Genomic DNA, 24,996 nt, shown 5'->3' on the forward strand with positions numbered 1-24,996 from the left:
GTCCACAAAGGCAACACCCCCTCTGGTTAATCTGAGAACTAAAATAAAAGCAAGCAAGAAAACCCACGCCAACACCTTACAACAGTAAACAGACACGCGCCCGTCACCGGGTGTACAAACAGAAAAGGCTGGGCCCCTCGCTCGCGTCTCCGGTCCAGCAGGCCTACAGGGTACCCGCCGCTGGCGCTGGGTTTATTTTTACCCTTAGTGTCTCTGGGGCCTCTCACCTGGCAGTCTCCGGCGAAGTCGACCAGGCTCCGTCTGAACGATTAGGAAAGGGGCTGTGGGGGAGGCGGCGGAGCCCGGTCTAGCCACCGCGCTCTGGGGTTCCCGATTCGCGCATCTTCCCAGGCTGAGCCGGGAGGCTGCGTTGACTGCAGATAAACGGTCTCAGGGCGCGGCACCGCGTGTAGTCGGCCCCGCCTTTCGCACGAACCCGCTGGGCGACACCGCGCAGGGAGGTCCGACCCGTCGGCGCCGGTACAGGCTCCGGAGTAAGCATGGGTTGGTCCGGGGCCCGCAGCGGCAGCCCCGTGTGCCCTCCGCCGGGTTTCAGGTCCGGCGGCGCGGGTGCAGAGCCGCGTGCGATGCCTGGTGCGCGTGGCTTCCCCCGGAAAGGTGGCGCCAGGCCGACCATGGGCCCACGTCCCGGGGCCTCGGAGCGGCACCGCGCGGTCTTTCAGCTGCTTATCCTCCCTGGGCGGGTCCGCAGGCTTCTGGGGCCAGGACCAGCGAGCTCCCGGGAAAGCTTCCCGGAAAGCTTACCCAGAGAGCGCGGACCCAGGCGCCGAGTCTTCCCGGAGATGACGAGACACCGCGAGAGGAGCACAGCGCAGGCTCCTCGGGACTCCGCGGCGCAGGCCGGGCAGCCCGTTACTTGTTTTATCGTTCCCGAAACCAACCTCTAAGTTGTCTATCAGTCCTCCACCTTTTAGCTGTACCTCTTAGAAGTGTCTTCTCAGCTGCGGTGGGAAGATAGGATTCTTTCTTAAGGTGACCAATTAAATGGCCGGATAAAAGACTTGTTCTGCCCCCCTTTATCGCTTAACACCTGCCCTTCTTGTTGTATTTTAGATTTTTAACCCTTCTATCAGCAGTGTGATTCTATTTCATTTAATTCTCATTTCATGTTTGTGTCTTCCTTTTCTCTGTATTTCCTCTTGTGTGTGTTAAGACGCGCGCACCCCTTACCTGTTTTTCACTCCTGTAAGCAAGTGCCAATCTTAATCACCGCTTTTCAAGCAAGGGAGATTATCCTCAAATTTCTCCACCAGTCAGAAACCATTCATTCTTGTCTCTCAGGTCCTCTTTTGTGATGAACCTATTGGATAGGTTCCATCCAATACCCTTCTTCAGATCATCTGAAATGATTATTTTCCTAAACGGAACTCTTCCTCTCCTAAAGCTTGTAAAAATTTCTAGTGACATTCAGCTTCCTCTTACCACAGGAATGACATATATTTTTCCTTTTAGTCATATGTACTTCATTAATATATCACCTGATTTGATTAACATGACTTTGGAGAACATTGAATTTTTTGGCTAGATTTTACTTCGTTTTTATTGCTGATAGTGTTTATAAAAATGTTTTATAGTTTATGGTCGGCTGTGAGAAAGACTAACTCAGATCATTTGTTAATGTTGGAGCCCATTTTGTAGAATTCGTTGTGCATTTATTTAAAATTTATTTGTTCATAGCTATACATATATTATACATGTATACCTGCTCACAGCATAAAGTATTTCATGACATACTTGTAAGAGTCAGTGTTCTATGAATTCACTAGAGAAGTTACAGCATTTTGATTATGATACACGAAAAGAAACCCAAGTCATTTAGCTTAACTCCTTAATTTCATAAACCAGAAAACTAAAATCCAAGATAGATTGGGTGACTTGGTCTAGATCACAAACCAAAGTTAGCCATAATTCGGTAGTGTAGTGCCCGGTCCAAAACCTCATAGATAATCTTATAATCAATGGACTCTTTCTGAATGCTAGTCAAAATGTCCTTTTGTGTGAATTTTAATGTACCGTCATCAACTGCATGATATTCTTCCCCATACACAAAGTGTTATCTTTTTGTTGTCCATTTCAGAATTTTCCATGTTAATATTAAAGTTCTAGGAAAAAAGGCTAAGAATCACTGCACATTTATTGAGTATCTCAGTGTGCATCATACCATTTGGTCATTTGAGGTTGCAACAAGTAAAAAACAAACATAAAACCCTTAAATTAAAATAAAAACAAAAAACTTTGCCCTGACAATGTTACAGAATTAACATCCATAAATTTACTTTTCTTGAAAAATTTATTTTCTTTAATTTCGTTTGTTTCCTGTTACATAATTTATATTTAAATTTACATTTATTTATCCAGAAACTATGTCCAAATTTTATGTCCTCTTTTCTGTTATCCTGGAGTTTGGTGAAGAAATCTGTACTTAATTTAGAAAAGAAATCCCTCTAACTGACAATATTGTTAGCTAACTATATATTTCTTAGGCCCATGTCAAATATCATTGCTTATTTTAATAAAGATTGTTTAGTTAGACTAAGAAAATAGTAAATAATAAGGGATGGCATCCGTTAAGTATAAACACTGGATTATTTTTCATAACATAACAGGTCAACAATATCGTTTTGAGGCTGAACTCCTTTACTCCTTTTACTGTAAGCTATTGAAGCCAAACTCCTTCCTACCTTTGTTCATTTATGATGGTGTAAAATTTTAAAATTAGGATCTACATACAGAACAATGCAGAATTATATAAAAATATTTGAATATTGAAAAATGAAGTGGAAATTATTATTATTATTTAGGTACAGGGTCTTGCTCTGTCACCCTGGAGTGCAGTGGCATGATTACAGCTCACTGCAGCCTCAAACTCTTGGGCTCAAGTAATCCTCCTGCCTTAGCCTCTGTTAACCATGCTGGTCCTGAACTCCTGGCCGCAAGTGATCCTCCTGCCTTGGCCTCCCAAAGTGCAGGAATTATAGGCATGAGCTACCATGCCTAGTCCTGAAATTACTATCTTCTTCCTTAACCCCCATCTCCCCCACAAAAAAACAAAAACTTCCTTTTTTCTTCATATTTACATTTTAATTGTATATGCTGCAATGGCCTATTTGTATCACCCCAGAGTCATGTGTTGACATCCTAACCTGCAATATGATACATTAGGAGGTGGGGCCTTTGGGAGGTAATCAGGTCATAAGGGTAGTGCCCTCATGAACAGGATTAGTGTCCTTATAAAAAGACACATGAGCGCTCGCTTTTTTTCTCTGCTCTTGCTATGTGAGGATACAGCAAGAAGAGGACCATCTGCAAACCAGGAAGTGGGCCCTAACCAGAAACTATATCTGCTGGCACCTTTATCTTGCACTTCCTAGCCTCCAGACTGAAAAATAAATGTTTGTTGTCTATGACACTCCATCTATGGTAATTTGTTATAGCAGCCCAAAGTGACTAAGACAGATGCTAACAAATCGAGATTTATTTTAAAAACTATTCTCCTGCTATGAGTTCAATATTTTTATTTCTTTACAATGATTTCAGAAGAGATTACAAAGAGATTAATATACTTAAAGAATCAGACTCTTGCAAACAGTGACATCATTAAAAAGAGCTTATTTTCATTAACATGTGATTAACAGGAAGGAGATGATTGGTGAGTTTTCTTCGTAACCAGGTTCACTGTGGATAGGAAGGGCCTGCCTTCCTTCCCACCATGGAGATCCTAAAATCACAAGCTCCAGCCTCCATCAATGATGACAGGGTTACCAGTTACATAAGCAGACTGCAGTGATAAACACAAGGAGACAGAACAATTAACCAGGTTTGATACAGGCTGTATTTTGAAATTTTCCTGTGACTAGGATAACTAAACAATTTACCCTTGTCCTAACAGGAAACCTCACTTAAACACTTAATTCAGGGAAATCCAAATTAACATTTGGTTGATTTAGAACTGCTGAGTGTCCTGTGATCTGGAACTAAATGGCCTCTGGCTGGTGTCTAAGCACCTGTCACTGTTAGGTATTTGGTCTCAGAATCCCCAAATTAAGGAACAGTGATGTATAGCCATTCCCCAAATTAGGATATAGGCTAAAAGCACATTTTCATTTTGAAACTCAGAACTATTCAAAACTAGCTAAGTTTTATGCCACTAATAAACTTTTGAACATAAGTGTATCAGTCATAAAATGGTCATATTAATGACCAGTTTTTTAAAAAAGACAGCATATATTTAGTTGATCAATTATAAGTGGATAATTGTAGGAGCTGAAGCACACTAAATGTGTTTTAAAAATTTACATGAATGATAATAACTATAATCCATTAAGCTATAAAAATATTCTATATTAGTTTCAGATATCCAAATCTTTATAAAACTAAGGAATTTAAAAAATAATTACTGGTTTATTCCCATAAATTTTTCATTTTCTAAATAAGGCTGAAGTGATCTTTTTGGTAGAAGTTTAAAAATCTTTTAACTTAAAATGGATAATAAAGACTCAAACAGTCTAAATTCATCTGAAGCCTGAAACAATGGAAGAGGAAGTAAGGATATCATAATGAATAGAGAAATTTTAAGAGTTCAATAGATAAAAGCTGATAATATACAGTAGGTGAACTAGGGAGTTATTAGTCACTTCACCAAAGAAATACCTCCAACTCCCCCAAGTTCTTTTAAAAGACAAGCTCTGTTACACATATGAACTCCTCTGGAAACCTCTAAAAAGCCAAAGGTACTTTTGTAGCACATTTCAAGCCACAACACTTCCAAATATCTTGTAACCTAAGCTCTGGCTAACTAAGGGTAATTTAGCTTATCAGCAGTACCCAAATCAAATGAGCTATTCTGAAGATACGGATTCAGAGAAATCACAAAGGCTCATGTGCTTCTTCATTAAACATTTGTCTATTAATTTCCCCAGCTATTAACAATTGTTGTTAATAGTTGGGAGAAGTTCTGAGAAGAAACTGCGCTGTCACGGAAACATTTCAATCCCTGTATTTGTCACATTCACCAACTATCTGGTGTGCACCAAGTTACTGGGAAGAGGAGCTATCAGTTGTTCCCTCCTCGCTCCCGCCTAGTCCCCTTTCCTTCCCTCTTCTCACACATTACAGTTCCTTGTTCCTGTAGTATTCAGAGACATAAAACAGAGGAGGACCTTCTTGTGCTCTATACCTTATAAGCATCATTTTTGCTTTCATCTTAAGCCATTTAAAAGTAAACAATAGTTATTAAGGAAAAAACTGTTAAACAGATGCAAAGTGGAAGAGATTAAATTAGGAATTTCCATACACGATGATGAACAAGTAAGAATTTTTAAAAATATTTATTTATTTTGAGACGGAGTCTCACTCTGTCACCCAGGCTGGAGTGCAGTGGCGCAATCCCGGCTCACTGCAACCTCCGCCTCCCTGGTTCAAGCGATTCTCCTGCCTCAGCCTCCCGAGTAGCTGGGACTACAGGCGCCCGCCACCACGCTCAGCTATTTTCTGTTTTTAGTAGAGACGAGGTTTCACCATGTTGGTCAGGCTGGTCTCAAACTCCTGAACTCAGGTGATCCGCCTGCCTCGACCTCCCAAAGTGCTGGGATTACAGGCATGAGCCACCATGCCCGGCCACAAGTAAGAATTAATAGAGAAAAAAGAGCCAGTGGAATTCTCCCAAACAAGTCACAAGTAAAACTAAAACACCACATGCGAATTCTGTGTCCACTGAACACAAATCTGCTTAATCCTCTCCCCATTTCACTTAGAGCTCTTATAATCCTGGAGGTTCAATTTTTTGACTTGCATTTAATCAGGGTTTCCCCAATTATAATTTTTGAAAGGAACTGTCTCTCAGAAAATTGAGCACTTTAACTTTTTTAGTCCTCCATTTTGTTTGCTACAAGATTTTATGTAAAGCTGAATAAGGAAGAATTAGTGGCTCAGATCGAAGTGGTCTTTCTTTGAGCAAATTAAATGAGAACTTATCCCTATCTTATAAATGTAGCATCTTAGCACATATATGCCACAAACTCTCTAAAATGATATTATTTTGATGAGCAAATTGTGGCCAAATGTGATTGAGGGTAATGAACTCCTTGGGAAGAATAGTGCTTACTTCATCAGAAGCCAAATACACGCAGAGCATGGCTATTTCTTCTGCAGTTGCGAATCTTCCCGTCTTTTGTCTCTTCAGGAAATCATTCCGTGCCTGTGACCAGAGACCATACCAGACATTAGTGATGGAAGCAGCTGTATGTGCTCACCTGCATCTTGTTCAAGGAGTTAAAGGCAAGAGAATCCACTGGCTTGCTGCCTTGATGAATAATCAACTAGGGTTATGGTGATTCTTTTGCCAAAGTTACTCAAATTGTTTGTGTTATACTAAAACCCACAGATATTGTGACACATCAGAAAGCTAATGTTAAAGGATGAGGGCATTATTTTTTCATCTTCAAAAGTTGTGGTAAAGTATACAGAATATAAAATTTACTATCTTAACCATTTTAAGTGTACAGTTCAATAGTGTTAGGTACATTCACACTGTTGTGCCACCATCACCACTGTCCATCTCCAGAACTCTTATTTTTATTATTATTATTTTTTCTTAGAGACAGAGTCTTGCTCTGTTGCCCAGGCTGGAGTGCAGTGTTGTGATCATAGCTCACTGTTGTACCTCAAACTCCTGGGCTCAAGCGATCCCCCAGCCTCAGCTTCCCAAGCAGAACTCTTTTCATCTTACAAAATGGAACCTCTCTACTCATTAAGCATTAACTACTCTTTTCCCTCCTTCCAAGCCCCTGGCAACTACCATTTCACTTTCTGTCTCTATGAATTTGTCTGCTATAGGTATGGAAGAGGGCATTTATTAACAAAAGGTTTAAATACATTTTAAATGCTAGATGTACCTCTTCAGGATTTCCTCTGGCTTGTATTCTTTCTTGTAGAGATGGCGTATCAACTGTTCCTAAATCAAAGGGGGATATTCAGCTTGGTTACTCACTTTCACTGAAAAAGAAATCGATAACTAAACTTCCTTTCCATATGACAATCAGTGAGATTCTTCTCCTTGACTTAAAATGACAACTTTACAGCTGCCTGCCTGAGGCCTCTTATTTAATAGGCTTATAATTTCTTCAATAACATTTCTATGATTTTAAAAACACAGACTATGATTCTTCGTGACACTATGTAGGGACTCTGGATGAATCACCCAGCATTCTCAAGGACATATATTTTAGTCACATTGCATTTATATGATGCTTTATGGATTTTAAATACATTTATGCATATGATCTCAGCTAATCCTCACAATAACCCTGAGATGTAGATAAAATCGTACAAGCACTTTGCCAGCTTAAGGAGCCAGTTTGCCTCAATGATCTCAAAACCATTCTTTGCTGTCAAGTTCACTGTGGCATCTTTGGGGACAATCCCATGGCTACCATAGTCCTTGGTAATTCAGGTGGCGCTAAATTTTTCTTATCACCTTGCCTATTTTCATTGTTTCAAATGCCTACTTTTAACCACAGTTTCAAGTTTTTAATCAAAAATATAATTTAATCTAATTTAAAGTTATTTTACTTTAAAAAAGAAAAATAAGAACAACGCTAACATTTTAAAATTCCACTTAGTTTATGGTCTCCTAGAGCACGTTACCCAGACTTTTTTGTTAACGGACATAAACTGTTCATTCTCTTTAGAGGGCCCTTTTTCAGACTAAAGAGTACTCTGGCAAATAATGTGATCTTTCTGAGGTTGTAACAAATGGTTTTACAGTCATACTTCACCCTTAGATCATGTTCCTGAGAGTGCCATAGATTTGATCTTTATTCAGAAAACATTTCTTAATTTTAGCATCATTTGCTATTTTTTTCTGATGAAGCTGGAAATCTTCAAAATCAGAAAGCCTGACTCCATTTTGGAACCCCCTCTTTAGGTTGGTTATCTGTCTCTTGTCACATTTTACTATAAGCAGCCAGCACTTTCAAGACTCTGGGTAGAAATCACCTTAATTAGATCACCCAGTTCATTAGGAACATCTTCTACCTTCACACTACAGGCAACAGTGTTGATGTACTTTCTGAAACTGTATGACAAAGACACTCTTTTTTCTAATTTTCAATAATATTTTCCTCACTTTCCTCAATAGCCTCCTTAAAGTCCACAGTTTTACCAACAGTGTGCACCTCAAGCTTTCACTAACACTCCTTCAGAATCTTACAGCTTTAATAGCTTTCTCCCTCTGAGGTAAATGAACATCATATCTTACATATGACTGGTACTAATGGCTATTAAATAAGAACTGTAGAGCAAGCCCATGCCTTTAGAGTATTCCAATGTCACTGGGTTCAGCTGTGTCCATGGCACAGACATACTATGCCAGGGTCTACACAAGTCTGGCTGGAGATTTGTGACTATACAACCATCAGCAGCATCTCAGACATACTCAGTCCTCCTCAAGTTTTCTTCTGTGATTGGTTCACTGAGTCACAGCTAGTTCCTTGTTCCAAAGAGTTTGATAACATATTTTCCAATCTCCTGATAAGTCCAGTCGCTGAAACAACCACATTTTCCAAATCATTTTACCACTTATTCCACTGGGTAAATGGCACCAAGAATAGCTAGACTCAAGTATCGCCAGGATGTACATTAAAACCCAATGAAATGACCTCTCATGCATTCTTCTTTTTCTTAGCGTTACCTACGTTTACATTTCTGTTCCAAGAAAAATAAAACAGAACATCTCAATCGCTGAAATTCTGTAGCTTGGGGGATGTTTAGTTTCCCCTCTTTAAGTCAGTGGGTTTCAACTGAAGATTCAATCAGAATCTCTTGTGGGTCTTTCTAAACCACACAATTCTCTCCATGAACTCCTTCCCTAAATTCTGGCATGCCCTTCAGGTTTGAAAGGTCCCCAGGTCATATTGAAATGTTTCCCTTTCACACACCACCCCCCATTATCAATTGTGCACTACCAAGGGAAACCTTGATCCTGGATATGCAATCATTTCTTTTTAAAGAATATTATAATCCTTATTAGATACCTTAAGTTCCTTTTAGATTGGTAGAACCAGGTAAAAGTACATATCAATTTAATAAACACATCTACGGTTATTGTGAAAATGAGACACACCCCTATAGTTATTAAGAAAAGGAAAGTTCTGCTTTTCTTCTTTGCTTTGTATGAGGGATCGGCACACCTTTCTTGGTAAAGAGGCAGACAAAAAATATTTATGGCTTTGAGAGTCATTTTATCTGTTGCAACTATTATACTAAACTCTGCCTTTGTAGCATGAAAACAGCCATAGGCAATAACATAAGCAAATTGGGTGTGGAAGTGTTTCAGTAAAACTTTGCTTACAAAACAGGTGTGCCTTACTCACCTGGGCACACACAGTTGCACCTGATGCCCTGCTGGATGAAATCTGCAGCCACAGATTTTGTGAGGCCAATCACGGCTGCCTTGGTTGTGCTGTACACACATCTGTTCACAACTCCTGAGGGTGGAGGAAAGGTTCAACAATTGAAGGAATAAAAAATGTATTTTCCTTCAGAAAGGTAACACAAATAAGTTTTCCCAGTAGCCATTTTCATGCTTTCTCCCACATTCCTCCCCTTTTAAAAAGATTGATATCAGATTTTTTTCCTTCAATAGAGTCAGTTTCTGGATCTAGGGAAATAATATCAGTATAGGCACAACTTAATTGAGACTTAATTGAAATGCTGAACTTACTTAACATTGGTAGTCTTAGTTTCTCATCATCAGTTGCCATAACTCTTAGGCAGATTCCAAAAGAAAATGAAGATTAATAACAAAACAAAACAATAAAACAGGAGGCCTAGGCACTTCTTTACATTCCTCTCTTGTGTATGTTGAATATGTGTATCCTTGCAAAGAGAAGAAATGGTATCTCAGCAGTAACTATTTCATTTTAAACTCACAGATCCAACTATGCCAGATTGTGACATAATCCACATTTTGTACTGCTGTCCTTGTCCTTCAACTTGACTTCTTGCTGATGGCTCAGATCAACTGTCTTTGTGAAGCATTCCACAAACTCACAGGCAGTTATTTCCCTGTATTTTGACAGCGCTTTGTACAAACCTCTGTTATATATCATCACACTGGAGAAGATGATGTTTGCTGCCTTGCTCCTAGTTTTGGACTGTGAATTCTTTTATGGCCAGAGCACATACCGGTGCTCAATACACTATTTTAAATTAATTAAATGTTAAATGGTTCTTTCTCCCAGTTTGATGTTCATTTCCATGTCCATTAGAAAGAATAAAAGGGAGGGCAAAAATACCCCACATTTTAATTTAATTTTACCACTGGCTCACATCGAGAGCAAAAGATCTGTGGTTAAGGAACTTAATACCAATTTTGAAAAAAGCAGTTTTGAAATCATTTCAATACTTGAAATTATAATCTCTGCTATGCCTGTTCCCAAACGCAGAGCTCTTAATGATGTGCGTGTATGAGCATCGCAGTCCTCGGAAGGAGACAGACCCACCTTTGACGCTGGAAGCCACAGAAGACATGTTGATAATATTGCCAGATTTCTGAGCAAGCATCTGCCAAAACAAAACAAATACAAAAAAAAAAAAATCCACTTTGTGGGCTAAAATACTACCTTTTAAAAAGATTTGCATTTTCTTAGGGTTTGCAGAATGAATTTAATTACTGTATTAGCTAGTCACATTAAGCACTATTAAGCAGTCTTAACAGTGAACCCAAAACACCTCATCAACTATTGCTGGGAAATGATGGCAATGTGACTGCACTCACTGGCATTTCCCAGGGGGATTACCACCTTCCCATGGTACAAGAATGTCAGCAAGACTACGAGTGAATGCTGACTTAAATGAAATGTGAATAAATGTTGTTATTGTGTGTTACTGATGTTGGGAAACTTACTCCATTCAACACATAATTTTTGAATACCTACTGAGGCCAGGTATTGTGCTAGGTCCAGGAGATTACTGCCTACAGGAGGCAACCAGTCTGGTTAGAGTGGCTCACATAATCCACATCCAGCCACAGCAGAGACCTCCACAGAGATCTAACAGCAGGGTGAGGGCAGAAAGGGAGCAATTCAGGCTGGGCGACACTCAGAGGGGACCTCCTGAGAAGGAAGGATATGGGCTGAATTTTGAACACTAGAGTATTAGTCAGAAAAATAAAAGAAAAGGATGTTTTGAGGAGTGGGTACACAGGTATAAAGGTTCCATCGGGAACTGGGAGGAGGGGCTGGGTCTGGCTGGAATGCAGGGTGTGGAAGCAATGAGGCTGCAGAGGTCAACAAGGGCTGAATTTAGAACCTGGGTTTTACCCTGAAGGTGATGCAGTGACACTGAAGGGTTTAAAGCAGAGAAGTGGCATGTTCAGACTTGGGGATTGCAAGGATTACTGTGGTGCCCAGAGACTAGTGGAAGCTGATGCAGGCTTCAGGAAAGAGTGATAAAGGTGGAGCTGCAGAAATGTCTATGGGTAGCTGAGGAGGAGAGGGCTGAGGCAGGATGGGCAGGACCTTGTAGATGGTTGCTGCAGGGATGGTGGGCCTCACCAATTTAGGGCAGTGTTTCCTAAGAACACCTTCTTCAGAATTCCCCCACTAAAGTGTGAATTTATTAAGATGAGGGTCTTTGGCTGTTTTGTCCTCCTAGACAGTGTACACAGTAGGCAGTCAATAAATGTTGATGAATCAGAATCTCCTGAGGTGCTAGTTTAAAACACAGATTGCTGGGCCCTGTCCTATAGCTAAATAAATATATAATAAAGAAAACTGCTATGAATTTAAAAATGTTTTCAAACTTTACTAATTATAACATGTACATAGAAGTCTCAATAGGCAGTGTAAAGGGCCAGAGAAAAAAAATGACTTCTGTTGGGACGAGTTTCTTTAGCAGCTTTTAGAAAAAGAGGTGTAGGAAAGGAAAAAGTAAATAATTGAATGGATCCAGGATTGGTGTGGCCAAGATGATTGATTTCTTAGGATATTCTTCTGACTTTGTTCTGAGATTTAGCTACTAATTGCCCCTAAAAACAGAATCTAAACTAACCCCAAGGCACTATGCTGAATGGAGTAAGTGGATACAAGGAGAGGCTGACTGTAACCCAACCAAGCTAAGGAAGACAGCAGGGGAAAAAATAATGTTTAACTTAATTGTGTGTTTTATATAATAAAGAGGATCATAATGAAATGGGGTTCTCATAAAAAGTGTCAAGAATGTTGGTCAAGTGTAATGGTGTTGAAAAGTAAGCCTTAAAATTGTTCTTTCTTATCCAATTTAGCAAATAGCATTCCCCATTTAAAATACATATAGAATACATATACCCCAATTTAATACATAAAGATGGGTTATTATGTAGGTTCAATCTCTAGTCCTCTCTAGAAATGCAATATTATCTCAGGCAAAACCTTAGAATAAAGCCACCTAAGAGACATTACATTAGTGCTGCCCCCTAACACTTGCACTATCCATTCAACCAAGTTCAACCGAGGTCCCTCTGCTGCTTCTAGAGCCCCTAGTCAGTACCTGTTCCCATGCTGCCTTCCCAGTCCAGGTCAGGAGCTGTCGTCATGGTGTCAGGCTCTCCCTGGCTCCCCATGCAATAGCCTTCTCTGGCAGGCATGACTATAAAGTCAAGTGCCTGGTACATAGTACTGCTATCTAGGATTGACCTCCCAGAAGCTTAGGTAGGGGCTAGAAATACCCCTTAAGAGTCCCTGGAGCTGTATCTAGTTAGTCTTACTCTGACCCAGCCCTTCTGTCTCCATTGGCCAGAGCTCAGCCCCTAACCCTGGTGGAACCTGGCCACTTGGGTCTCCAGTGGTTCCTGCTGGACTAACAACCTTGATTCATTTATTTATTTGACAAATGTTTGTGGAGCACCTCTATACGCTGAAGACTCTTCTAAGACACAGCAAGGTGGGGGAAAAAAGCAAGCAAACAAACCAACCCAAATAACAAAGATATCCCCAAATCTTTGCCCTAATGGATCTTCTCTTCTGGTGGAGCCTGGATTCTGCATTGACCTCTTCTTAAAGTATTTTCAACTTGTTCTCTGCCTTTTGACTGATCTTCCAGTCTTGGAATGCTTTCCTGTGTATCTATCCATGAATAAAAATTTCCTATGAGTGTTCCTATGTTCTGACCAGCTGACCTTCCAGAGCTGCCTAGACTCCAAATCCTAGCTTCCCCTGGAAAGTTCTAACATGGGATATGTGTGTCATAGTTAATGATACAGAGGATCATAGATAATTATGGCTGGAAGTGATTGTGTAACCTATCATCCTCATTTTTTAGCTAAAAGAAATATGTACTGAGAGGGTACAAGTGCCATCTCTATGGCACATGGCCAATTAGGGGCAGGGCGCAGACTGCACCTAAGGACTTCTGATGATAGAGTCCAAGACCAGGATTCGATTTTGTCAAGGTCACTTTAAACAAGAGGCACTAATACCATATTCCTGCCATTAACATCTCTTGGGATTTTTTTTTAAACAAATCTGTGTTTTTGGCCCACATGGATAATTGTTAAGATATTGTAAATCACAAGCAAACTCACTAGTTTGCAAGTTAATGTTTGTATATTTTAAAAATTAACACAAGTTTACATTTCAGCTCCACTGTACTCCACACCTACTTCCTTTACTAAAATTTGTAAAGCATTTTAGAGCCTGGTTTTGCAAATGAGTCTCATGCATGTGCAACAGTCTTACCCACGATGACCTAAGCTTTCCTCCTATACCACAGTCTCTGCTCTACCCCTGTAACCTATGCAAAGGATCTGTCTTCAAAAATACATTCGTGTTCCAAATACTATAGTTTCTCATAAACTCCAAATAGGCTAAAAAATCAACTTACATTAAAAAAAACAATTTGTTATAAAAATTTGCTAGTTCAACATTCTGTGGACCCACCCAAAAATCCCTTCTAAGCACTAAACAAGTAGATTTTTCAAAGTCCCTTCATTACTAAGTCAGTTTCTCTAATTTTCCTGTTAATGTTCATCTGGAACCTTCTTAACATTAGGTTGAATATTCAGAGTAGAATATCAGCCCTGCTGTGCCATTAACAAAGCTCTTCTCCTGCCCAGACATGGACAGGACATCAAATCCAGCTGGGATGGAAGGGAAAAGTTGTTCTTCTGCATTTCACTAGGTTCAATTTACAACCTTGAGTTGAGCTGGCTCTGTACCCAGTCAACCCCTTTCATTGTCTCAGCCTGCACTGTCTGCTACTACTGGTTTATAAGCTCATTTGAAATCAGGGATGTACGCTGCTCATGTTTATACTCCCCTAGAACACTTTATATAGTGATTTATACCAAGAGGTACTTAATGCTAGTTTATAAAATAAAATTTTAAACATTGATGCGTTGTGTGAAGGCTTGAGAATTCAAGGAGGAATGCTGTCTTGAGCACACACTGTCTCTCACCTGCCCAGTACCACTGTGGTTCAGATCAAAACAAGAGCGAAGGGAGAAGCTTCAGGGCAGAGAAAAGCAATGGGGTACATCCCTCTTGAGAGTGTGAGCCTAGACTGAAATTCACGAAGGGGCTCAACGTCCAGGCTTCAAATCTTGGTTCTAACCATGTGCTAGTTGGGTGACCTTGAGCAAGTTGTCTGAACTCTCAGTTTCATCTTCTGAACAATGGATGAGATAATAGTATCTACCTCATACGATCATTCCAGTCTCGTGTGCCTCCCTGCTGTTACCTCTGCCTGGAATCATCTCCCAAGGTACCTGAATGATCAGCTGTCTCACTTCTTGGACTGCTATGCCAGTTTCACCTTTGCGGTGGAGTCCAGAGGGGCCGCATTGATATCCTAGCTTCTTTCTCTTCATTATATTTAAAACCACGCCACATATTCTATGTCTATTTGATTACTAATTGTCCCATCTCACCCCCAATAATGGAACCTGCCTTATAGAAGGCACTTTGTTTAGTTCACTTATGTGTCTTCTGTGCCTAGAATGGAGCCTGGCATGTGGAAAGTGCTTAATAAATATTCCTTGAGTGGATGAGCTGGAAGGTTAAATAGATTAATTTATGTGAAATGCCTTGATATAAATGTTCAATGCAAGTTAATCATTGTGTTAGTTATTATCACTCTTCAGCACATGTGGGAATCCCTTCTGTGTGCCCAGTACAGAGACCTAATGTGGTGCTTATCCTGGTGGTGGTGGTGGTGGTCTTACTTTAGGAAGGAATGCCTTGATCATCAGGTACATGCTGCGCACATTGAGATTCATCGAGAAGTCCCAGTCTTTCTCCTCACAATCCAGGACAGTTCCATGATGGACAAAACTAGAAGAGTGATTAAACAATGGAAGAATAACTGCCATTAAAATTTTTCTATTCCATCTGCTGATTATTTTTATTGTCACTTAGTGACTTAGACCACTGTCTCTTTCCCTTATCAAGACTTTAAACAATTCATAGTATCACTTAGTATATTATATTAGTAAGAATCCCAACAACTTAAGCTAGAAATGTCATCTGAAAACAAGATCCTTGTTTTCCAAACAAAAGTATGGTCACCGAACATAAGAAGCTTTATATTAATTGTGCTGGAAACATCAATGCCATTAAAAACAAACAACAAATAAAGGCGAACAGGGCTAGGCATGGTAGCACACACCTGCAGCCTCAGCTACTTTGAAGGCTGAGGCAAGAGGACCACTTGAGCCCAGGAGTTTTAGGATGCAGTGAGCTATGATCATTCCACTGCCCTCTAGCCTGGGGAACCAAGACAAACCCTGTTTCAGAAAAAAAAAAGAGAGAGAGAAAAAACATCTGCCCTATTTGCCTATGTGATTCCTATTTCAAGAGCAACAGTGCCCTCAGGTGGCACAGATTTAGAATTCTCAAGGGAAATCAAAATTGCAAGGAAAACAAGTGTCTGAACATCTCAGAGCAGCAAAGTGATACTGCTAGTGTTCTAACATACTGAGAGATGTTAGTTTGTTGTAAGAGAGACGTTAAGGCAGAACAAAACAAACCCGTAAAGTAGCTTTCACTATTTTTCAAGTTACGTTTTCTGAGGGAAGCTTCCAAAACACTGGAACCCTTACTGATTTGGTCCTCTGGACCCAAATTATGTAATTCATTATAAAATATTGTTGGCTGTGACTTCCATGTACCAAAGCTCTGCTATTTCAGTCAGAATGTCAGTTTCATGACAGCAGGAACCACATGATTATTTCTACATCCCCTACATGGCTGAAAATTTAATAGATGCTCAGAAACTAACTTTGCTAACTATTTGTTTCATGTTTCTGGGTGTATTCTTACATGAGGATGGAAGACTATTTATAAAATAGATGATCAGAAATTATTGCTTTAATTTAACTTCCATACATTGTAACACATAATACAGCTTTGTATCAGTACCATCTGTCTTGAGTAGACCTCATTTGCCCCAGATCATGTCAAACTCTAAGGCTGTCTTACCTGCTGAATTTTATGTGTAATGAAAATGCTGTGTAAAATCTAGCCATATTTCCCAAGGAATATGTCATGGTTCACAATGAATGATTTTGCCACATTATGAAAATTCTTTGAATGAAAGTCATAGAAAACTTTCTGTAAGGAAAGTGAAACTAAAAAGTTATGAATTACCCAGCAACATTAAAGAGAACATCAAGTCTCTCAACTTCATTGGCAAACTGATCAATTTGTTTCTTCTTTGTGACATCAAGGACACGAGTTTGAATACCTGAAAAATAAAACAAGAGGCACTATTCCTAAAAATGTTTAGCCTTGAAGGTTTAGCTGTTTTGAAGTGTGAAGTGTGAAGATTGCAACATCTATCCAGCTAGGCTTCATAGATTGCTGACCTTCTTACTAGGGTCTTAAGAATCTTCAGAGTCTCATTAGTAAACTTAAAGTCCATCTTGACTCCTCCAATAACCCATCCGTCCCTCTTCCTTCCTCTCTGTCCATTTTCCAAGTTGAATAATAAGGGTCCTTTCTGAGCAATGGCTTTATAGTAAAGAATGACTGGTGTACATTAGATGTTTCTCAGTAAGCCAGCAGTAATAACTGAAAATGGGCTCATTTGAAGTTCTTACAAACTTCAAACATTAATTTTCTCCTCTTTGCAGCTTTTCTCTTAATTTTCTCTTCTTTGAGGTATAATTGAGAAATAAAAATTGCATATATTCAAGATGTCCTTCCCCTATCCTTCCCCTGCCAGAGACTGGGTTGCTGGTACCTATACAGTAATCAGAATTTTGTCTGAGTGAGGGGTGGAGAAGAGCAAGTGTTCTGGAATAAGAGACTGTTTCTATTTGTGAGCTTCCCCTTTATGTCATTTCCATTATTTATTAGAAATGACTCTGTTAGTCAAGGGTATCCAGTCAAATACATGTATTTCTGGACTAAACTGCAAGGAGAAGAAATGAGAGGGTCAGAAGAAGGGATGACACCCTTGAAGGCTAGACATGAGAGATCTGGCATGGCGGGCACCTGAGAGATACACACTGCACTAGTTGCTGAGAAACTCCAAACAGTGTCTAACAAAAGCAGCAGTCATCATTATAAATATATACACATATTATTTATAATGTGCATAATATATATTATAACATATAGTAATATAATTTATAATATATACAATGTATTAATATGTATACATATAATATATAATAATATATGAATAATACATATAATATATAGTAATATAATTTATAATATATACAATGTATTAATATGTATATGTATAATATATAATAATATATGTATAATACATATAATATATAATTATCTATAATGTGTATTATATTTTATAATTTATAATATATTATAAATAATATGTATATGGTTTATTTTGGGGGAATATAGAAATAAAAGATTCATAAAGAAAGGGAAGACTTGAAATTTTGTTTCAGAAACATTTCCTTATCTTTGTGCTTCCCCAGTGCAGCAGCTTTACTTTGACTTGTTTGAATTATAATTCAACATATTCCAATTCAATTAACTAATTCAAGGAACTAATTGCTGTTTGATTATGTAACCTGTTCTATTTTGCTGTAAGGGTTACCTTTCATATAGGTTCTCTGTTCTGATTTCTTTGGGTAAACTGCAATTAAAATCCTTTGGTGTTGGAGTTTGGTTCAGTGGGGTGAAGAAGTGGTGGTACACACCTAATAATCTGGGTACTCTCTTAGGGTTTCTCATGATGATGTGTGATTTTAGAGCTAAGCTGTCTCCAGCCACATGTGGCTACTGAGCACCTGAAATGCAGCTAGTCTGAAATGAAATGTGCTGCAAGTGTAAAATACACATGAATTTTAAAGATTTAGTATGAAAATATTGAGACGTTGGTCAAAGGGTACACTCTTGCAGTTATAAGACTTAATATACAGTACAGTGACTATAGTTATTAATAATGTATTGTATACTTGAAATTTGCTAAGAGGGTAGATCCTAGGTATTCTTAGCACACACATACATACACACAGAGGTAACTAAATGAGGTAATGGATATGTTAATTAGCTTGACTGTGATAATCATTTCACAAGGTATTTTACAACATATATGAAAACATCATGTTGAACATCTTGAATATATGCAATTTTTATTTCTCAATTATACCTCAAAGAAGAGAAAATTAAGAGAAAAGCTGCAAAGAGGAGAAAATTAATGTTTGAAGTTTGTAAGAAACTTCTAATAATTTAAATAAAAAATTTAGTAAGAAAAAATTAAAATATTAATTTTTTAACTTGAGTGCATGTTGAGATTATATTTTAGATATATTGGATAAAAGAAAATATATTATTAAATTAATTTTCACTTGATTCTTTTTACTTTTTTAATGTGGATACTAGAAAATTTAAAATTACACAGGCAGCTCACAACATGTTACTATTGGACAGGGCTATCCTAGAGGAGGAGGGCACAGAAGTGAAAAGCTGTCATGAAAAGTTAACCTAACAACTAGTAAATTTTCACATGTAAGTTTGTAATTAGGAACTGAATCCCTCAAATGTGTTAGCTAAATAAAGGATTTTAAGTATTCGTCCTCAAATTTTTCTATGCATGTAAGTCACAGATTTTTGTCTATAGGTTCACAAAATATAGATTTCATATCAGAGAGAGAATCTAAAAAGCACGGCAGTGGAGCTCAGTAGCTAGGGAATTTTCTTTCAACATGTGAGCGCCATGCTTTATAATACCTTGCAGACACTGAATCCCAAATTCAAGCTGCTGAGTTGCTTACCCGGGTACTTTTCCAGTTCCTGAAGTTTGGACTCATTAATGTCTGTGGCTATGACTTTGGCACCTTCTCTTGCAAAAGCCTAGTAGACACAAAGTACAAATAAATCCTTTGTTTACTTGAATAAACTGTGCTCATGAATGGAACATCATGTGGTCTTTTTCTCCTTTATCTTATTTTCATTGTTCTTTTCCCTATAAGATAGCTAGAATTTTAAACTATCTAGTCTTACCCCTTCTCCATTGTTATTATTTTTATCATTAATTAGAACAATGTGACATACATTGTGCTTGTCATCTGACTTAGTCCCTTTAAGTAATATCAAACAAAATAACGTTCTTAAAAAAATGACAGCTGTTTTCAATACTCTCAAAATACTGCTCTTCTGTAATGAGACTATATATCATTTCTGAGTTTGAGTTACTAAACTCCAAATAATAAGAGAAAAATTGGTTGTTTCAACACTTTTCCTACTAAGAGTATGCTAGTGCTTTCATAAATGTCAAACCATACCCTGCCATTATACTTAAGGTACTGTTATACTTAAGGTGCCGATATTAGCTTAAGTGGGGTACATAATGTAACAGAAATTGATATAAATCAGGAGAACAAGGTAACCTGTCTTATAACTCTGGAGTCATATATCTAAACTGACACAATTTCAGAAAGCTGTGTAACCCTGTTTGCCCTCTGTAGCGAATATATCATGATGCAGAGAAACTGAAGTAGAGAAGTTTCTCAGAGTCAATGGTTATCAGTGATGTCATGTACTAAATATGAGGTATTCATTCCTTCATCTGCCTGGGGTCAGGAGTAGGGACCTATTTATTTATTTGTTTATTTTTATAACTTAAGACAACAGAAGCACAAAAGTAAAAAAATAAAAAAGCAGAGCAGAAGTAAACAACCATGGCATCAGTCCACATAATTCAATATGTCAAGAGTTAGTAGGCAAACAACAAAGATAGTAACTTATAACTTACTAAGGCAGCTGCTTGGCCAATCCCCTGAGCAGCGGCCGTCAGGATGATGACTTTCCCATCAAGTCGACCCATAATGGAACCTGTGGTTTAATCTAAAGACATGTGTGTTTAATGGGTTATACTGTAGAACATGATCTTGAGCAGGCAGTAACATCTAGAATGAATAGTTCAGTGTGCTCTTTTAAGAATAATTTAGTGAGCTCCTTCAGGAACTTGAAGACAGCACCTCTGTGCAAGTAGTCCCATCATCTGAATTCTCCTAGAATGCTTACTCTGCATACCTAGCTTTGTATATCAAACACATTTACCATAACCCACTGAAGTAATGACTGGTGACAGACATTGGCCATTTTTTTTTTTTTTTTTTTTTTTTATGAGATGGAGTTTCACTCTTGTCACCCAGGCTGGAGTGTAATGGAGTGATCTCGGCTCACTGCAACCTCCGCCTTTTAGGTTCAAGCAATTCTCCTGCCGCAGCCTCCTGAGTAGCTGGGATTACAGGTGCCTGCCACCACGCCCAGCCAATTTCTGTATTTTTTGTAGAGACGGGCTTTCACCATGTTGGCCAGACTGGTCTCAAACTCCTGACCTCAGGCAATCCACCTGCCTCAGCCTTCCAAAGTGCTGAGATTACAGGCCTGAGCCACTGTGCCCAGCCCAGATATTGCACTTTAACCTACCTTATCCTTCCTTCAGTACCTGGAGAGGACAGCCTCTGGTGCTGAGTTTCCTCACTACCACCATCACTCTCTCCATGACCCCTGCACACATTGCTATGACATTATTTGTGTCCTTACTACTCAGGGCTGCTTCTTGATTTCTCTTCCATAAACTTTTGTTGAGGTTTGCACTATCAATTGCTTATGATTTTTTTTCTCTTGAAAAGATTTCATAGTTGGTCTCAGATATTCATCGAAAAAAAAAAGGATGGAAAAATCAAATCACATCCAATACTCCCATTTTACAGATGAGGAAACTGCTGAAACATGCCCAATGTCATAGAGCCAGTCAATGGGAAAGCCAGAACTAAACTTAGACTTCCAGACTCTTGCTATGTGAACAGTCCAGCCCACAATGCTGCCGATCCTCTTATAAAGTTTAAGCATGCAGTAGTAACACATTAACAGGCATAATCAGTAATTTCTAAATGATTGAGAAACACTGACACCGGGGCTCATGTGCATGAGATATTTCACCAGTGCTTGGATTATAGATCACAAAGTGAGAGAAAGAGCTAGTAGTGAGGCTGGGGGTGGAGAAGAGCCAAATGACCATCAAATGAGGCTGTCTTCAAGGACACAGGCTCCAAGTCTTGCTGGGCTCTGTCATTAATGTGTGCCTCTGACCTCATACGAACTCACAAAGTGGCTGCTTTGTCCAAGGCATCATATCCACATTTCAGGCAAAAAGAAAGGGAGGAGCAAAAGCCAAAAGGCTTTCAGAGAGGTCTCACCTTTCTATTTAAGAAGGAAACCTTCTCAGAAATTCCCACCTGCAGTTCATTCACCAGATCTATGCTACTTGGCCACTCCTAGCTGCAAAGAGGTTGGAAGTTGAGACTTTTGTTTCCAGCTTTGATAAAGTGAAGAATAGGAGAAAGTGAGTTGGATGGTGTTGATGAACCAACTTACAGTACATGCAAACTAGCCTACACAATCACTCTGTTCCATTATCTGCCTGATTTTGTACAGGTTGATAGCCTTGCCTAAAGGGCTTATATTACCTAGTCCTTTCTCTTTGAACTTATTTCAGTTCTCTCTTTAGCCAAACTTTTTTTTTTTTATACCCAATATGCTCTTCCATTTCAAACCTCCACACTTGGTCCAAGGTCCACATGGTGAAGGGCAAGTTACTCCTATAGGCAACAGCCACTGAAGGATTTATGGAAAGGGTGTGAAATGATCAGATTCGTATTTTGGAAGGACTGCTGTGGAGAACATACCTGGGCAGGAGCATGGGGTGCCATTAGGAGGCTGCTAGGGTTATCTAGTGGGGGCGCTGGTGAAATAGCAGGGCTGGAGAAAATAGCAGGGATGGAGAGATAGGTGGATTGGAGAAGTGTTTCAGAGATGAGATAGGTAGGACCTGATCACCAACGTGGCTAATTTCAAAGAAATGTTATTTGCCCAGTGTTTTGCAGCTATGAATTCAAACCTAGGCCTTCTTGTTGCAGGTCCAAGGGAAGATCTCATGGCATTGTCTCATGGTACTCAAAGCCCTGCGGGCCTCTCTAAATCCCCACTGTGGCACCAGGAGCCTGTGCCTCGCAGACCGCTGACCCCAGGAAGTAATGGACAATGAGGCGCAGCTGCTGCTGCCTCTCTGGGTTTGTGCTGAGGCCACCTTCTCGGGGCCGTTACAAGCCAGTGCCTGAGCATGCATGCTTACTAAGGCAGACTCATTTCTGGGAGACATAGACCTCCTCCCCAACGGATGACTGGCTAGAGAAGCTCCTTATTACCTTGCTGAAGTTCTCTTAGACTGCACAGCTGTCTGGGATGCTTCCACTCAACCTGGTTTCCTTCTTTTCCTCCCTCGCGGGTGGACTTGCATCGAGGTCTGATGGCTCTCACAGCCTTACCTAGTTCTCTCCTCATTCTCTCTCACAACAGCATTTCCCCTAATAAAATCCATGCATATTTAATTCTATCTTGGAGTCTGCTTCTTGGAGGAGCAGACTAACACAATTATGTAAGAACTGGCTCCAGGGATCAGCTTATAATCACTGACTTCCTCTGAGTTTGTCCACATTTTTTAGGCGATGGGGAAGCTTGGCTTTAACAGTGCCTGACCTACTTTGATGCAATGAATTTTTGCTTTTTTACTTCTTACACAAAAGATAAACATGGAATGTTTATCATTTCAACATGGAATGACAGTTTCTAAAGTATAACTTTAGAAAGATATACTTTATCCTCCTTGAATCCTAAGCATGGTGCACAAAAGCTATTTTACAACACTGTCATTAGTGATATTGGGTGTATGGCCCTGTAAAGCCTCCAGTCAAAGGTTTTGCTAGGAATCTTTGCCAACCGAAGAAGCACTTCCAGAACAAATGCCGAAGCACAGAGCAGCCTTTCTATGCACTCTGAAAACCTCCTCTTAGCTGGCCTTCCTGTCTTTCTGGGACCAGATTTTGGGGTCAAAGCCTTAACATTTGATAAACTGTAATCTCAAACTAAAACAGATTTCTTTGAGAAAATGAGAGCAAACACGGCCTGAAATGGTAAAACAAGGCACCTCTCAATATATCCAATGTGAAAACCATACATGTTGGCTTCCTTAGTCCAAAAGTTAGAATCAAAATGTTGATTTTTGATTAGCAGAGACACAAACAGCATATTCAGGAAGCCATTGTTTTCAAGAGCCAGGAAGAAAACTCTTCACTTAGGATACCGTAAGAATCCTTTTTTCTTGGGCTACTTTATAAAACATACATACCACAGAGTTTCAGGCTCTTTAAAAACCCATCTTTACACTGATCTAACTGCTCAGATTAATTTTGAAACAGGCAACGTGCAGAAAAAAACAACATCTAAAAATTAAACCTCCCCTCTTTCCGTTCTAAAGTTTCATTTCAAAAGTATTAGGAAATCTTACTTTAAGCAGCGAGCTGATGGCGTTCTCCAGAACTCGGTTTGAGCAACAAACTTGAGACAACCTTTGTCTGGAAGCAAGTCAAGCGCTTAATAATGCATGCTGGGATTTGTAGTTTCCCTGCTTTCAGAGTTTAGTGGCTCCATCCATACACTTTATAAATGTATGTGCTGCCATCTAGTGGAATTCAGGTAGAACTATGAATTCCAAGTGGAAGGTGAAAAGTGGAAAAGCACCTTAGAGCTTACTTAGGATGCGGAAATCATTTCCTTCACTTCAGTCTCTCCACTTCTCTGTTTTGTTTATGCCTACTATATGCGGTGCCAGGGTAGACGAGATTGGCTGAGCTGGAAACTGCGTGTGGAAGATAGCAGAGCAACAAAATAGAGGGAACCCAGGTCACTGAAAATTCTGGAGCCTTCCTGTCACTTGGCCTGGATTGTTTTAAGGGAGAGAAATAAAAAAAAAAATCCTTTTTGTTTGAGATACAGTTGTGATTTTTATTTTTTCATGCTCAGAATATTCTAACACTAATGCACATTTAGTGGCAGAATGCCAGGAGCCTTTTACTACACTGGGAATGGGGTTGGGGAGAACGTGAAACTTGGATGACAGGGTGGAGGCTTAAAAGGGAACATGTTAACAGCGAAAAACCCCAGTTTGGCTGAAGAGAACAGAGATATAAGGTCAAAAAGAAAGGACTAGATCTCATGAGCCCTCTAGGTTAGGATAGCAACATGTGCTTTATCTGTAGTGCCAGTGAGCAGAGTGATTGTGTAGGCTACTTGTACATGTACTGTATAAATTGGTTTCCTCAGCACCCATCCAACTCACTTTCCCCTTTTTTCACTTGTCAAAGCTGGAAAACAAAAGTCTCTACTTCATAGCCTTGTTTGCTGCTAGGGGTGGCCAAGCAGCATAGATGTTGCCAATGAAATGCAGGTGGGAATTTCTGAGGAGGGCCTCCTTCTTAAATAGAAAAGTAAGCCCTTCTGAAAGGCTTTTAGCTTTTGCTCCTCCCTTTCTTTTTGCCTGGAATGAAGATAGGATGCCGTGGGACAGAGCAGCCATTTAGTGAGTTCATCTGAGGCCAGAGGCACACATTAACGACAGGGACCAGCAAGAGAAGGAGCCTGCGGCCCTGATGACAGCCTCAAGGCAACAACTCCTCTG

The 24,996-nt window shown here is 39.5% G+C and overlaps 2 protein-coding genes across 21 annotated transcripts in view, besides 2 other annotated features; both read right to left on the reverse strand.

The window, feature by feature from the left end:
- Nucleotides 1-1,363, reverse strand: part of SLC9B2 (solute carrier family 9 member B2) — a 59,291-nt gene extending 57,928 nt beyond the window's left edge. For 9 of the 12 annotated variants that reach the window (NM_001370205.1, NM_001370204.1, NM_001370206.1 and 6 more), the window contains exon 1: nucleotides 228-805. The gene's annotated coding sequence lies outside the window, so the exon portion shown is untranslated. Of the gene's footprint in view, nucleotides 1-227; nucleotides 806-1,191 lie in introns of those variants that run through there. The other 3 variants (NM_001370201.1, NM_001300754.2, NM_001370207.1) reach the window with 1 other exon arrangement.
- Nucleotides 465-574: a silencer, noted in NCBI's record as "silent region_15604". NCBI's record gives its function as "represses an Ori minimal core promoter by ATAC-STARR-seq in GM12878 lymphoblastoid cells {active_cell/tissue: GM12878}" and the evidence as "EXISTENCE:reporter gene assay evidence [ECO:0000049][PMID:35858748]".
- Nucleotides 685-804: an enhancer, noted in NCBI's record as "active region_21763". NCBI's record gives its function as "activates an Ori minimal core promoter by ATAC-STARR-seq in GM12878 lymphoblastoid cells {active_cell/tissue: GM12878}" and the evidence as "EXISTENCE:reporter gene assay evidence [ECO:0000049][PMID:35858748]".
- Nucleotides 1,364-1,635: 272 nt separating the features above from the next.
- BDH2 (3-hydroxybutyrate dehydrogenase 2) lies at nucleotides 1,636-23,878 on the reverse strand. 9 transcript variants are annotated; one of them, XM_047415982.1, is made up of 13 exons: nucleotides 23,827-23,878; nucleotides 22,688-22,846; nucleotides 21,680-21,798; nucleotides 20,227-20,318; nucleotides 19,247-19,325; nucleotides 16,644-16,740; nucleotides 15,221-15,329; nucleotides 10,524-10,584; nucleotides 9,743-9,784; nucleotides 9,393-9,506; nucleotides 6,915-6,973; nucleotides 6,125-6,217; nucleotides 1,636-3,799 (listed from the first exon to the last, which is right to left on the reverse strand). In XM_047415982.1, exons 4-13 carry the CDS (start codon nucleotides 20,296-20,298, stop codon nucleotides 3,746-3,748), a joined length of 780 nt encoding a protein of 259 aa, XP_047271938.1. In that variant the 5' UTR covers nucleotides 20,299-20,318; nucleotides 21,680-21,798; nucleotides 22,688-22,846; nucleotides 23,827-23,878; the 3' UTR covers nucleotides 1,636-3,745. The 9 variants fall into 9 exon arrangements, with proteins under 9 accessions (XP_047271938.1, XP_047271937.1, XP_047271940.1 ...); XM_047415981.1 differs by lacking the exon at nucleotides 21,680-21,798; XM_047415984.1 differs by lacking the exon at nucleotides 9,743-9,784.
- Nucleotides 23,879-24,996: the final 1,118 nt, after the last annotated feature.

The sequence above is a fragment of the Homo sapiens genome, chromosome 4, assembly GCF_000001405.40.
Source record: "Homo sapiens chromosome 4, GRCh38.p14 Primary Assembly".
Classification (NCBI taxonomy): domain Eukaryota; kingdom Metazoa; phylum Chordata; class Mammalia; order Primates; family Hominidae; genus Homo; species Homo sapiens.